The sequence below is a fragment of the Homo sapiens genome, chromosome 11 (assembly GCF_000001405.40).
Source record: "Homo sapiens chromosome 11, GRCh38.p14 Primary Assembly".
NCBI classification, from domain to species: domain Eukaryota; kingdom Metazoa; phylum Chordata; class Mammalia; order Primates; family Hominidae; genus Homo; species Homo sapiens.
The window spans coordinates 69,834,469-69,848,575 of NC_000011.10; the positions used below are offsets into that span (position 1 = coordinate 69,834,469).

General features: G+C 49.4%; 5 annotated features.

Annotated features, from left to right (window-relative positions):
- Positions 257-1,062: an enhancer, noted in NCBI's record as "H3K4me1 hESC enhancer chr11:69649493-69650298 (GRCh37/hg19 assembly coordinates)". NCBI's record gives its function as "activates a minimal SCP1, AML or CMV promoter by ChIP-STARR-seq in naive H9 embryonic stem cells {active_cell/tissue: H9 hESC(naive)}" and the evidence as "EXISTENCE:reporter gene assay evidence [ECO:0000049][PMID:30033119]".
- Positions 1,870-2,675: an enhancer, noted in NCBI's record as "H3K4me1 hESC enhancer chr11:69651106-69651911 (GRCh37/hg19 assembly coordinates)". NCBI's record gives its function as "activates a minimal SCP1, AML or CMV promoter by ChIP-STARR-seq in naive H9 embryonic stem cells {active_cell/tissue: H9 hESC(naive)}" and the evidence as "EXISTENCE:reporter gene assay evidence [ECO:0000049][PMID:30033119]".
- Positions 3,559-3,759: a silencer, noted in NCBI's record as "peak1329 fragment used in MPRA reporter construct". NCBI's record gives its function as "represses an SCP1 promoter by STARR-seq MPRAs in K562 erythroleukemia cells {active_cell/tissue: K562}" and the evidence as "EXISTENCE:reporter gene assay evidence [ECO:0000049][PMID:32103011]".
- Positions 8,431-9,097: an enhancer, noted in NCBI's record as "NANOG-H3K4me1 hESC enhancer chr11:69657667-69658333 (GRCh37/hg19 assembly coordinates)". NCBI's record gives its function as "activates a minimal SCP1, AML or CMV promoter by ChIP-STARR-seq in naive H9 embryonic stem cells {active_cell/tissue: H9 hESC(naive)}" and the evidence as "EXISTENCE:reporter gene assay evidence [ECO:0000049][PMID:30033119]".
- Positions 12,469-13,066: an enhancer, noted in NCBI's record as "OCT4-NANOG hESC enhancer chr11:69661705-69662302 (GRCh37/hg19 assembly coordinates)". NCBI's record gives its function as "activates a minimal SCP1, AML or CMV promoter by ChIP-STARR-seq in primed H9 embryonic stem cells {active_cell/tissue: H9 hESC(primed)}" and the evidence as "EXISTENCE:reporter gene assay evidence [ECO:0000049][PMID:30033119]".

Here is a 14,107-nt window from a genome sequence, read left to right on the forward strand (position 1 = left end):
GCTGCCTGCAGGCCCCCGGCCCAGTCAGCTTCGCCTTCTGGCGGCAATGTGCCAGGCCCTGGGCCTACAGGCTGGGATTGGGAGAGTAGAAAGCCAGACAAGCGTCCGAGCTGCGGGCTGGGATCCCTGAGGACATGAGCCTGGGTTCTGCTGCTGCCCTGCTGCAAAGCAAAGGGTGAGGGGGCACTTGAGCTGGGCTGGGGCCTCCTGCAGCTGCTCCCACCTCCCTTCTCAGGAGTTTTCTCCCTCACCCCCTTACCCGGTTCCTTATTTATAGTAGACATCAGAGGCCCAGAGAGGTCAGGAGACTTGGAAAGTTCACACAGCAGGCAATAAGACCCAAGAGGCTCAACCCCTCACCTCCAGGCTGGGTTCTTTAGATTTAACGATCACAGCTCCAATGATCTGGACTGTGGGGAGATCACACTGGATCCCCCAACACCAGGTTCAGAGGTGGAGTTGGCCACAGACGGCTGAACAACACGCTCAGTCTCATGGGCAGGAAGTGGGTGTAGGATTCGAACTCAGGCCTGCTCTCACACCTCTGTCCTCCACCCGTGGGCTCACCCCCATCCGTCAGCCTTTTGCTGGCATCCACACCAAAGCATCACAGCCACCCACCCTGGGCTGCTGGGCAGGAGGGGGATCAGTGGAGCCCACTGCTTCCCACCTCAGAGCACTCTGCATTCCAGCCTTCCCACCCCCATTTTTCTGGCTTTAAAAAGATGCTGCGGTCTTCAAGAAACCGTTTATCTTCAAAGCTGGGGTAGAGAAAAGGCTCCAGAGGGGCCGAGTGTGTGTTGTGAGCGGCTGGGAGGACATCACTTAAGGCCCTTAAATGACGACTAATTGGAACCCGGGCGGCTACTTTCAAGGGGCCAAGTGGAGCTGCATTGTGAGCTCGGCAGGCGGAGGATGCCGACGCGGTCGCGGTTAGGGGAGGGCGGTCGGGGTGGCGGTCGGAACCGCATCCTCTTCCCAGGCTGGGGAAGCCCGATCTGGCACGGCCGAGGGCCCCACAGCCCTGCTGAGTGGTGTTTACAGCCCCAAGTCCCGCTTCCTGGCTTTGGTTTGAGAAACGGAGAGAACCCCTGGGTCCGGCCCACTGGGCTGGGCTCTCCGGCCGGCCCTGCTGGGATGGAGATTAGAATCAGATCAATTTTGTCTCACTGTCCTGGGGCTGCTGTCACTAAGTCCCACAAAGTGAGGGGCCTAAAACAGCAGAAATGCATCCACCCACTGTGCTGGGGGCTGCAAGTCTGAGACTCGGGTGCCAGCAGGGCCGCACACTGGGGAGACTCCTTCCAAGAAATTTCCAAGGGTTTTTTTTATTATTATTATTTTTTGAGATAGAGTCTCGCTCTGTCGCCCACGCTGGAGTGCAGTGGTGCAATCTCAGCTCACTGCAACATCCTACTCCCTGGTTCAAGCGATTCTCCTGCCTCAGCCTCCCTAGTAGCTGGGATTACAGGCACGCGCTACCGCACCCAGCTAATTTTTGTATTTTTAGTAGAGATGGGGTTTCACCCTGTTGGCCAGGATGGTCTCAATCTCCTGAACTCGTGATCCGCCCGCCTCGACCTCCCAAAGTGCTGGGATTACAGACGTGAGCCACCGCGCCCGGCCACGGGGTTTCTTGGCTCTAGGCCGCATCACTCCAATCTCTGTCTCTGTCTACCCGTGGCCTTTTCCCCTTGCACGCCAGTGTCTCTATTTTTCCTTCCCATAGGCACTGGTCACTGGAGCAGAGACCGCCCTCCCCCAGCATGCCCTCATCTTAATTCATAACATCCACAAATCCCTTCCTTCCAAATAAGGTCCCATTCCCAGGTACTGGGAGTTGGGACTGGGACATGGGTTTTGTGGGGAGACGATTAGACCTGCATTCTCTCATCTGGCTCCCATGGTGCCCGTCTCCTCCCCCAAATTGTGGCGGTGATTCTCTCCCACACAACGGCCCTGCAGAGGAGGCTCGCGAGCCTCGTCGGCACAGTTTTCCTTTTACAGATGGAGAAACCAAGGCACAGAGGCCCTGCTGTCAGCCGCTAGCACAGGCAGCTCGGCTATATGAGAAGGGACGAGGATCCCCTTCCACAGATGGGGACAATGAATCACTGGGGGCTTCAGGAACCCGCTGTCCAGCAGCCACGGCTGTCGGGCTCCAAGCCTGGGCACTGCCCACCACCCCACGCGACTGCCCCACCCCAGGAAGGCTCGTGGCTTCAGCGGATTGTAGACTGGACAGACGTGGGGGTGTTTAGTGCCTGAGTTAGGCTGAGTTGTGAATTCATGAGGTATAACAACAGGGACCAGGGGCCAAAATATGTGATCTGGTCTTCAGTCAGGCAGAACCTGATACGGAGCCTTGGACAAGACACTTCCCCTCTCTGGGCCTCAGTTTACCCAACTGGAAAAGTAGGGAGCCTCTAGGTCAGCACTGTTCAATAACCATGGCTGTGTGTGGTGATTGAGGACTTGAAATTTGGCTGGTGTGACTGAGGAACTGAATCTTTCATTTTACCATATCTTAATGAACTAAATTTTAGTTTTAAAAACAGATGCTCTAGGTGGGCATGGTGGCTCACACCTGTAATTCCTTCGCTTTCGGAGGCTGAGGCGACAGGATCTTTTGAGCCCAGGAGTTTGAGACCAGCCTGAAACCCTGTCTCTAGAAAAAATACAAAAACATTAGCCGAGTGTGGTGATGTGGGCCTGTGGTCCCAGCTACTCAGGAGGCTGAGGTGGGAGGATCACCCAAACCTGGGAAGTCAAGGCTGCAGTGAGCCGAGCTGTGATCACATCCCTGCACCCCAGCCTGGATAACAGAGTGAGACCCTGTCTCTAAATAAATATATATATATATATATATATATATATATATATATATAATAAAAACGGATGCTCAATTTAGTTACTGGAAAATTTTTATGTAGGTTTGGAACAACTTGGGTTTGTGAATCTACTTTTTCAACCACAGATTTATGAAATTTATATCTGAGATCTAGGATATATATCTGAGCAGATATATCTGAAGAAAATTTAGCATCTGAATTGGGATGTTTTATAGCACTGGATTTCGAAGACTTAGTACCCAAAAAAGAATGTAAAATAGCTCATTAGGGTTTTTTTATTGATGACATTCTGAAATGATCGCGTTTTGCATGTATTGGGTTAATTAAAATATTATTCAAATTAATTTCACCTATTTCTTTTCACTTATTTAAATGTGGTTTTTAGAAAATGGAGAAATGACATATTCTAATTGGAATGGTCTAGATCCATGATTTGCATTTCAGATGTTGCAGGAGTTAAGGATTTATTGTGTTTTCCAGGCAGGCTTTTGCAGCCTGGTGCACACAGTAGGTGTATCCTGTCTTCCAGGTGCATACAGTAGGCATCCAGCAATTCTCAGAGAGAGCTCTGGTGGCTGTCTGCAGGAGGTTGGAGGGGGTGATGCCGTGGTCAGGTCCAGGCAGTGCTGCTCTTCTCACCCGGCCCAACAACACCTGTACTTGTGTTTCCAGAGTGTGTTTAGCGGGGTCACTAAATGATTTATCACCCAACCCAGGACAGTGGAAGAGGGTGCGAGGAGCCCATGCACTGACTGGGGCTCTCCTGAGCAGACCAGGATGTAAGGTCCTCTGTGACTAAGCCATGTCAGCCATCAAACCACAACCACTATGTCCCCACCCCAGCGGGAGCAGTCTTGGACCCCACTCCCACCTGATGTCCTCCAGAAATGACTCAATTCTTTGAACCATTGTGACAAAGAACATGGTTCATGGTCTCAGTTATCTCTTGCTGCATAACAAACCACCCCAAAGGAGAGTGGCTAACAAACCACAATTTAGCATTTAGAAAACCAAACCAAAGCAAAACTATTTACAGTTGGCTTTCTGTATCCATGGGTTCTGTATCCATGGACTCAACCAACTTGGATCAAAAATATTTTTTTAAAAAAGGATGATTGCATCTCTACTGAGCATGAACAGACTTTCTTTTTTTAATACATGATTAATGTATATTTATTAGAGAGCAAATTCACGAAACTCTCCACACTGAATACAGATTGATTATGGTGACTTAGCAGAGTTGTCCATTTGGGGCCTAGTGAGGAGTAGTAGAGATTTCTCCTTGTCTTCTTAGAGGATGTTTCAGAAGGAAATTTGTAAAAAGCGGTAGTGCCTACAAGAGCCTGGCCTTGGATGTTCTCATTGGAGGTGAGTTGGTATGTCAGAGTTTTTGATCTGTCTGAGTAGAGAAAAAGGAACTGGAGAGTGATAGAAAGATTGATGGAATGAGGGAGATCAGTGGAGCAGCAGACATGCCCAGTCTTTGGCATGGTAAGGATGCCTGTATCCAGAACTAGCTACATAACTAGCTACATTTTCATGGCTCAATGCAAAATGAAATTGTGGGGCCTCTTGTTAAAAAACAATCAAGTGGGCCGGACACGGTGGCTCACGCCTGAAATCCCAGCACTTTGGGAGGCTGAGGCGGGCGGATCACGAGGTCAGGAGATGGAGACCATCCTGGCTAACACGGTGAAACCCCATCTCTACTAAAAATACAAAAAATTAGCCAGGCATGGTGGCGGGCGCCTGTAGTCCCAGCTACTCGGGAGGCTGAGGCAGGAGAAGGGCATGAACCCGGGGGGCGGAGCTTGCAGTGAGCTGAGATCGTGCCACTGCACTCCAGCCTGGGCGACAGAGTGAGACTCTGTCTCAGAAAAAAAGAAATCCTTGTCACAAGTGGGGCGCAGTGGCTCACGCCTACAATCCCAGCACTTTGGGAGGCTGAGGCAGGTGGATCACTTGAGGTCAGGAGTTTGAAACCAGCCTGGGCAATATGGTGAAACCTTGTCTCTACTAAAAATACAAAAATTAGCCGGGCATGGTGGTGCACGCCTGTAATCCCAGCTACTCCGGAGGCTGAGGCGGGATAATCACTTGAACCCAGGAGGTGGAGGTTGCAGTGAGCTCAGATTGTGCCACTGCATGCCAGCCTGGGCACCAGAGCAAGACTCCATCTCAAAAAAAAAAAAAAATCTTCGTCACAGAAACAGACCTGGGGGACAAGTCTTGAATGGGCTGGGCCAGAACCAGGCCCTCTCTGTGGAATATCTCATTCAATCCCTAAACAGCCCAGGCAGGCTGGCTTGGCCACGTTATCTACTTTAAGATAGAGGGAGGCTGAGCACGTGGTCCGAGGTCCCTAGTCCAAGGCTGCACCAGGACTGCCTGAGCCTGCATCTCGTGTTCATCACTGGGCCCTCGTCCCACACCAATGAACAGCAAGCAGGTGAGGAGGTGACTTCAAAACACAGGTTGGGCCAGGCATGGTAGCTCACGCCTGTAATCCCACCACTTTGGGAAGCCGAAGTGGGCAGATCTCTTGAGGTCAGGAGTTCGAGACAAGCCTGGCCAACATGGTGAAACCCTGTCTCTACTAAAAATACAAAAATTAGCCGGGGTGGTGACACACACCTGTAATCCCAGGTACTCTGGAGGCTGAGGCACGAGAATCCCTTGAACCGAGGAGGCAGAGGTTGCAGTGAGCCGAGATCACACCACTGCACTCCAGCCTGGGTGATGGAGCAAGACTGTCTCAAAAAAAAAAAAAAATTCCAGAGGGTAACCGCTATAAAACCTCTCCACTCGTGCTACATAGGTGTTTCTCTAAGCACTGTATGAGCATCCAATGTTCACCCTCATGGTGCCCGGTTGAGATTGGTGCTCCATTCTACAGATGGGGAAACTGAGGCACCGAGAATCAGGATAGTTGACTTAAGAGCCCATGGCAAAGGGAGTCCATCTCTGTTTCCACGTGGGCCTCACACCTCTTAGAGGCAAGAGTGGCAGTGAAGGGAGCTGTGGTCCCCAGCTGTCCTGCTTCACTGCTGGCCTCCCTCCAGCTTCTGCCTCCTGACCAGCTCCCTGGGTTGCCCAGACCCCTCCAGGCTGACTCACCTGGCCCTGGGCTTGGGGCCAAGTCTCTCTCTGCCTAGAAACTTCTGGCCAGAGCAGCCTGCAAGCGCATACCCTGGGAAGCCTCAGGAACTAACGGCAGGTGGGAGCCAGCGGCCGACCCCCAAGCCCTGAGGCAGCCACCCTGCTCAATGTCATCCTTAAGAGTCCAGGGGCACAGGCCAGTCCTCCCGCCGAAATGGAATAGTCCTCCTGGGAGAGAGGCCCCCTTTCAGCATGCACACCACGCCCCCAGCAGCCCTCGCGGGCAGCATCGCCTTGCCACTGCCCCAGCTCTGCTTTGCTGTGACTCCCGCTTAAGATATCAAAGCTGCGGGGCCACAATGCCCCACTGAAAGCTGAGTCACCCAGGTTTTGTGACACCACCAAATCCCTCCTGCTGTCTCGCTCTGAGCCCAGGGCTCCTAGTGCCAGATGAAAAGGAAATCCCCAGCCACGGGTGGGACAGGGAGGCCTGGCGGGGCCGGTGCCACATAAAGGGGCCTTGTTCCGAAATCAAAAGGGCCTGAACAAAGAGCAGAGAGAAGAAAGGGCTGGGGCTGGGTGGGGGGCAGCTGCAGTCTGGCGCACCTTGAATGGCTCGGTGTGCCAGGTCGGCCCACCTCTCCTGGCTGGCAAAGCAGCCCCTCCTCCACCACCTCCCTGGCAGCCCTGGGCTTTTTCCAGAACCCCTGCTGCAGGAGGAAGGGAGGGACAAGGTTGGGGTCACACATGGAGCCAAGTAGCAGAGCCTGGGACCCACAGGCTGACCACAGCCAGCACCCTCCCAGCAACAGCAGCAGCAACAACCACCAGCACCACCACAACACAACAGCATCATCAACAAGAGCAACAGAAACAACCACCACCATGACAGCAGCAACAACCACAAAAGCAGCAATAACTACCACAACGACAGCATCATCAACAACAGCAGCATCAACAACAGCATCATCAACAGCATCATCAACAACAGCAGCATCAACAACAGCGTCAACAACAAGAGTAACAACCACAACAGTAGCAACCACAAAAGCAGCAACAACCACAACAGTATCATCAACAGCATCAGCAGCAACCACAACAACAGCAACAGCAACAACCACCACCACTACCACAACAAGAGCAACAACTACTACAACAGCAACAACCACCACAACAGAAACGGCAACAACCACCACCACCACAACAGCAACAACCACCACAACAGCAACAACCACCACAACAGCAACAACTACCACCAACAGCAACAGCATCATCAGCAACAGCAACAACCACCACAAAACAACAGCAACAACCACAACAGCAACAGCATCATCAACAGCAACAGCAACAACAACAACGGCAGCAACAATAATAGCAACAGCATATTCAACAACAGCAACAACCACATCAACAGCAACAACCACAACCACCTCAAAAACAACAGCAACAACGACAGCAGCAATAACAGCAACAGAAGTGACAACATTAGCAGCAATAACAAAAGCAGCAGTGACAGTAACACCAGCAGGGACAGCAGCACCCTGAAAACAGCAGTCATAGCGGCACCCCCACTCCCACCAGCAGCAGCCACGGCAACAACCCAGGTTCCTCGTCCATGAAATAAGCGTGCTCACAGTGGTCCTGGCCCTGCAAGGCTGTTGTCAAGGTTAAATGTGTTAATTCACATAGAGCTCTTGGATGAGTGAGGGCAGAGAGCAGCCAGCACTTAGGAAGCTTTCACCGTGCCCCAGGTTCTATTTTAAACACCGAACTCGAGCTGCTTCCTTCAGAGAGGGATATGATTGTCATCTCTCCCATTTCACAGATGAGGGCACTGAAACCTGGAGAGGTGCAGGAGACTGCCCTCTGCTGGAGAGTCGGGCAGTCAAAATCCGAACCACAGGCAATTTGATTTCAGAACCTGCACCTGGAACCAAGTGGCCAGGCTGCCTCCCAAGCTGATGAACCAGGAGAGTGCAGTGTGCAAAGGAGGCTGTGAGGCTGTGCTCACAGGCAGACCCTGAGTCTCTGCCCAGTGCACACCAGTGCTGCACTCCCGGGACCAACAGGAAATATCTGCCTGGACTTTTAATAGGGCATTCCAATTTGACCTGTGGTGCAGAAAGAAGCCACAAAGAAATCTGCACTGGGAAATTGTTCATCCATTGGCTGTTAACTTGAAAACGCTGAAAACCCAATGCTGGCCAAATAAAGCCGGTCTGAGGGCTACAGCTGGCTTGGGGACTTCAGTCTGGGACTTCCAATGAAACAAGGACAGAACCCAGGGCCCAGAGCCAGGCTGCCCTGGTCTAGATCCCAGCTCTGCCAGGTGCCAGAAATGAAACTTCTGTGCCTCAGTTCCTCAATCTGCAGAATGGGGATATTGACATTTAAAGGTAACCTAAGGCTTAACAGGACAGATGTCAGCACAAGGAGCCGTAGCTCCAGGGCTTTTGTCCTAGGGACCCCAGACCCCGTGCCCCTGAGGGCACTTGCAGATGGGCCAAGGGCCCCACAGTCCACTCTTCCTGGCTTCTGAGGAGGTATGAGCTTGGCACCTTCCTCAGTTTACCTGCTTCCACTGAGCTAGGGGTGCCTCCATCCCTATGTTCTGACTCTTGCATGGGCAGGTACAGCCTAGAGCCCAGGTCTCCCCATCTCAATGTGCAGATTTTGCTGGGGTGGGGGCGGCTCCGTGACCTCTTTTAGCAGCAAAACCAGCTTTTTATCCGACACTTTCAGGCAGACTTCACCAACTCAGCCCCACCACTCCCCACAGCCCAGGCATCTTTTTTTGTTTTGTAAATTGCCTTTCAGAAAGCCACCCTGGCAGGCTTTGATGTGGCCCTTTGATAATTTAGCCTCATCAATAGGCAGGCCCTGCCCAGGAAGGCTGACTTTGAAGAGGGAGCCTTCTCCCAAGGCAGGAAAGGCAGGGGCTCCTGTCTCAAGCGTAGGGGGAGCAAAGGAGTGGGCAGGGGAAGGGGTTAACTGGCTATGAAGCAATTTACACAGTGACTCTGTCAGCACTTGGGTGAGGCCAGGGCTCTGACGTTCCCAGGTCATGGAGTGGGTGGTGGCTGAGGATGGAACCTTACAGAGGAAATCCAGCCGAGGCCTTTGGAGATGTGAAGGTTTGGTTTGCATTTCAGCTCTGGCACTTTTCAGCTATATGCCCATGGCTGGTCCCTCATTCTTCATGAGCCTCAGTTTCCCCATTTTAAAAATGAGGAGGGGGGTGGGGGAGGAAAATGGCACCATTGTAGTGAAGATTTAATGAGATGATGCACATGACAGTTTGGCACAGTGCCAGGTACACAGCAGGTGCTCAGAATGAGCTGGAAAGATGGTGATGATGATAATGATAATGATGTGTGATGATGATTATGATGATGAAGATGATGATCATGGAGACAGTGTTGTCAAAGAAGATGATGATGGTGGTAGTGATTATAATGAAGATGATAATGTCAATGAAGGTGACAAAGAAGAAGATAATGAAGATGCTGATGGTGTGGTGAAGATGGTGTGATGATGAAGATAATGATGTCAGTGAAGATAGTGAAGAGTTTATGCTCCCTTGTGATGTGAGGATGATGTTATTATGTGAAGAAGAGGGTGACAGTGCTGGATGATATGAGATGATGAAGATTATATCAATGAAAGTGATAAAGGTGATTAGTGATGATAAAGATGATGAAGAAGTTGATGAAGATGATTATAAATATGGTGAAGATGATGGTGATGAGGATGTTAGTGAAGAAGATAAAGATGGTGAAAATGGTGATGATGATGATGATGGTGAAGATGGTGATAATGAAGATGGTGATTATAGTGAAGAAGATGAAGATGGTGGTGGTGGCGATGATAAAGATGATGAAGAAGTTGATGAAGACGATTATAAATATGGTGAAGATGATGGTGATGAATAAGATAAAGATGGTGAAAATGGTGATGATGATGGTGAAGATGGTGATGATGAAGATGGTGATGACGGTTATAGTGAAGAAGATGAAGACAGTGGTGGTGGTGGTGATGATGATGAAGAAGTTGGTGAAGATGCTTATAGATATGGTGAAGATGATGGTGATGAGGATGTTAGTGGAGAAGAAAAAGATGGTGAAGTTGGTAAAAATGGTGATGATGATGGTGAAGATGGTGAGGATGAAGATGGTGATGACGATGATAGTGAAGAAGACGAAGATGGTGGTGGTGATGATGAAGATGATTAAGAAGTTAATGAAGATGATTATAAATATGGTGAAGATGATGGCGATGAGGATGTTAGTGAAGAAGATAAAGATGGTGAAGATGATGAAGATAGTGAAAATGATGATGATGACGGTGAAGATGGTGATGATGAAGACGGTGATGATAATAGTGAAGAAGATGAAGATGATGGTGATGATGGTGCTGCTGCTGAAGATCTAATCCAATTCTCTCTTTAGAGGTGCAGAAAATGGAGAAAGTAACAACGCAATTAGGGGAGAGACAGACCTGGCACCCGAGGCTCCTTATGCTCATTACAGTGCTCTCTCCTCTGCCCTTGTTACCACCTTGAATTGAAGCAACTGGTCTAGTCCTTGCATGAACTCCTGGGATTCATGGGTGCCCAGAATTAGATGACTCAGGCATAACACCTCAGATGTGTCTAATCTGTCAGTTGCCTCCTTCCCCATATCTGTCTCCCCCTTCCTTCTTTAGTAACAGCAGCTCTTGTACTTTGGTGTGACCATATGACTGAAATCTGGCCAATGAGATAGGAGCAGAAGTTCTTGGATGGGATTTTTAAGAGAATCCCTTTTTGCCTTCACTCCAGCTTCCTTCCCCCTGCCTGGGATGCCAATAGGACGGCTGGAGCTGGAGCAGCTACCTTGGATCATGCAGCCATGAGAAAGGAAGTCACATGCTTCCTTGGGAGCAGACAGGTAGAAAGGGCCAGATGACCATAGAACATCACACCAGTGCTGAGTGCTCACCTGTGCTGCAGAAACAAAGCCTCTGCCCTGTGGAGCATTTGCACTGGTTGAGAGAGACAGGACATAAAACAATAGGTAAGCAAATGTAGTCAAGTCAGGCATTGTAAAGCCAAGTACAAGGATGGAGAATGATCAGATTGTTCTGCTTTTGATGGGGAGTGGGGAGGCAGTCCATGCAGAGGGAAGAAGGGCCTTGGAAATGTGTCTGAGGAACAGCGAGGGGTCAGGGATCTGGGGTCATGTGAACATTGGGGTCTACAGTGGGCAGGATAGTAGCTTCCCAAAAGACACATCCATGCCCCAATTCCTGAAACCTGTGAGTATTACTTCATATGGCAAAAGAGTGAATACTACCTCACTGGGGAAATTCAGGATAAGTTAAGAACCTTGAGAGAGGCTTATCCTGAAGTACCCAGGCGGGCCCTAAATGAAATCACATGTATTCTTTTTTTAATTTTTTTTGAAACACAGTCTCACTCACTCTGTCGCCCAGGCTGGAGTGCAGTGGTGCCATCTCGGCTCACTGAAAACTCCGCCTCCCAGGTTCAAGCGATTCTCGTGCCTCAGCCTCCCAAGTAGCTGGGACTACAGGCGAGTGCCACCATGCCTGGCTAATTTTTGTGTCTTTAGTAGAGATGGGTTTTACCATGTTGGCCAGGCTGGTCTCAAACTCCTGGCCTCAAGTGATCCACCTGCCTCAAGCTCCCAAAGTGCTGGGATTACAGGGATGAGTCACCATGCCCAGCCTCACATGTATTCTTATAAGAGAGACACACAAAGGAGAAGACACAGAGGGGAGAAGGAGGCCAGAAGACAGAAGCAGAGATTGGAGTGACACACACAGCCACCCTAAGCTGCAAAAAACAAGGATTCTCTTTTGGAGCCTTCAGAAGGAGTGTGGCCCTGTAGACATCTTGATTTTGGATTTCTGCATTTTGGATTCTCTCTCAGCATTGTGAGGGAATAAATTCCTGCTGTTTTGCACACCCAGTTTGAAATCATTTGTTACAGCAGTCCTTGGAAGCTAATACGGAGGCAAGTTGTGGCATGGGGGCCAGAGGCTGGGAGGGGTTCAGTCAGGCAGGGCTTCCTAAGGTGCCCTGGGGACTCTGGACCTTATTCTGGATGTGAGGAGAAATCACTGGAGGACCAAGAGAAGAGCATGATGGCATCTGATGTGCATTTTAAAGGACAGGTCTGGCTGCTGGGTTTCTGGAAGGGTGCTAAGAAACCAGCTAGGAAATGTCTGTGGTCATCCAGTTATAAGAAGGTGATGCCTGGCTTAGAGCAGTCCTATTCAGGGGTCACCCCATGCACAATTGGTCAGTTACATTCAGTGTTATGAGTGGTTTTGGAAAGAGATGAGCATGGTTGGGTCCTTCTAATAAGCTAAACTGACCAGACATGATTTCAGTGGGAAGTAAGAGGCCATGTGGCCTCTGGGGCAGAGACACAGTTGTTTGTAAATACTTAGAAAACTGGGTGTGATATGTTCATATTTTTAAACATTTCACTTCCTTTTCAGTCAATGATTTTTTTGAATGACAAAGTGGAACCCCCAAGTTGTTTTTACACAAATTTACAGAGAGGTCAGTAAGCTGTAGTAAGTTGAGGCAGAGGAGAAGAAAAGAAGAGGTAAGCCTAGGAAAATTCAACCCACAGTCTACCATAGGGCAACAAAAGAATCTGGCTCAGCTGACCCTGTAGCTTAAATCCGAGGAAATACACAAGGTATGGGCACCAACAAGAGCTCCACAGGTACAAAGCCCAGCTCTTAGGACACAAAAGCCCAGCAGGTAAATACTCTAGTCCATTATTTTATCAAAGGCCTTTGTAGCTGGGTGAGAAGGCAAATCTACCACAATTGAAATGAGTTTGGATAAAAGACCATTTATTCTCAAAATCCCTGCCCCTTCTCCCTCTACACTGTTGTATACACCACATTGCCTCTTCTCTGCTCTTTAACTAATTCCTGGCTTCAGGTGAGCATATACCCAAGGAGAGCAGAGTATCCAGAAGACCTTGGACTTTAAGGTGAAAGAAGACTTTCCTTTGGGCCACCCAAGAGGAGCAGTAAAATAAAAACCCATCAAGGCAACTGGGTTATCTATCTAAGGGGTTGAGCAGAGCAGGGGGACTCAGGAATAAGCAGCAGGACAGGAACTTGGAAAATAGTTCCAGACAGAGCAGGATATCTCATTCCAGTGTGTATTAGTCTGTTTTCATACTGCTATAAAAAACTGTCCAAGACTGGGTAATTTATAAAGGAAACAGGTTTAACTGACTCACAGTTCAGCATGGCTGGGGAGGCCTCAGGAAACTTCCAATCATGGCAGAAGGTGAAGGGGAAGCAAGGCACCTTTTTCACAAGGCAACAGGAAGGAGAAGTGCCAACCATAGGTGGAATAGATCTTGTGAGAACTCACTATCACAAGAACAGCATGGGGGAACTGCCCCATGAGCCAATTACCTCCACCTAGTCTCTCCTTTGACACATGGGGATTATGGCGATTATAATTCAAGATGAGATTTGGGTGGAGACATAAAGCCTAACCATATCACAGTATAAGACTGAACCTGGAGGCCTCTACTGTACCTCAGAAATATGATACTGTGCTCACTATAGTTGGGGGAACTTTTAAGGGCACCAAAACGCTGCCACGTCACCCAGATTTCTCTCAGCTTTGCTCCAAGCCCTATGCATCCAAGATCACCACTTCTATAATGCATAACTTCCCTCTTCTTATGCTCCTTTAGCTCCCAGAAGGCAAAAGCAGAGAGCTGTCACACATGCTGAGCATCTATTATGTGCCAGGCTCTGTGCCAGGGGTTTTATGTGTTTTATATCACTTAATTCTCACTGTACCTTTGTCATATAGGAACTATTGTGATCCTCCTTTTGCAGATGAAGAAACTGAAGCTTAGAGAAGTAAAAACTTGTCCAGACTCACATAAGTCTGTTCTTACAGTCTTGGAATTCATCCACTTATTCTCCAAGTATTTGTTGAATGCTGCTTGATGCCTGGCACTGTTCCAAACACAGTGTATAGTGTATATCTTAGTGAACAGAACAGACACAAACCCCTGCCTCCTGAGGGAGGTTTCTGGATGCTGGAAACATCCAGATTTCTTTTCTTTTCTTTTCTTTTCCTTCCTTCCTTCCTTCCTTCCTTCCTT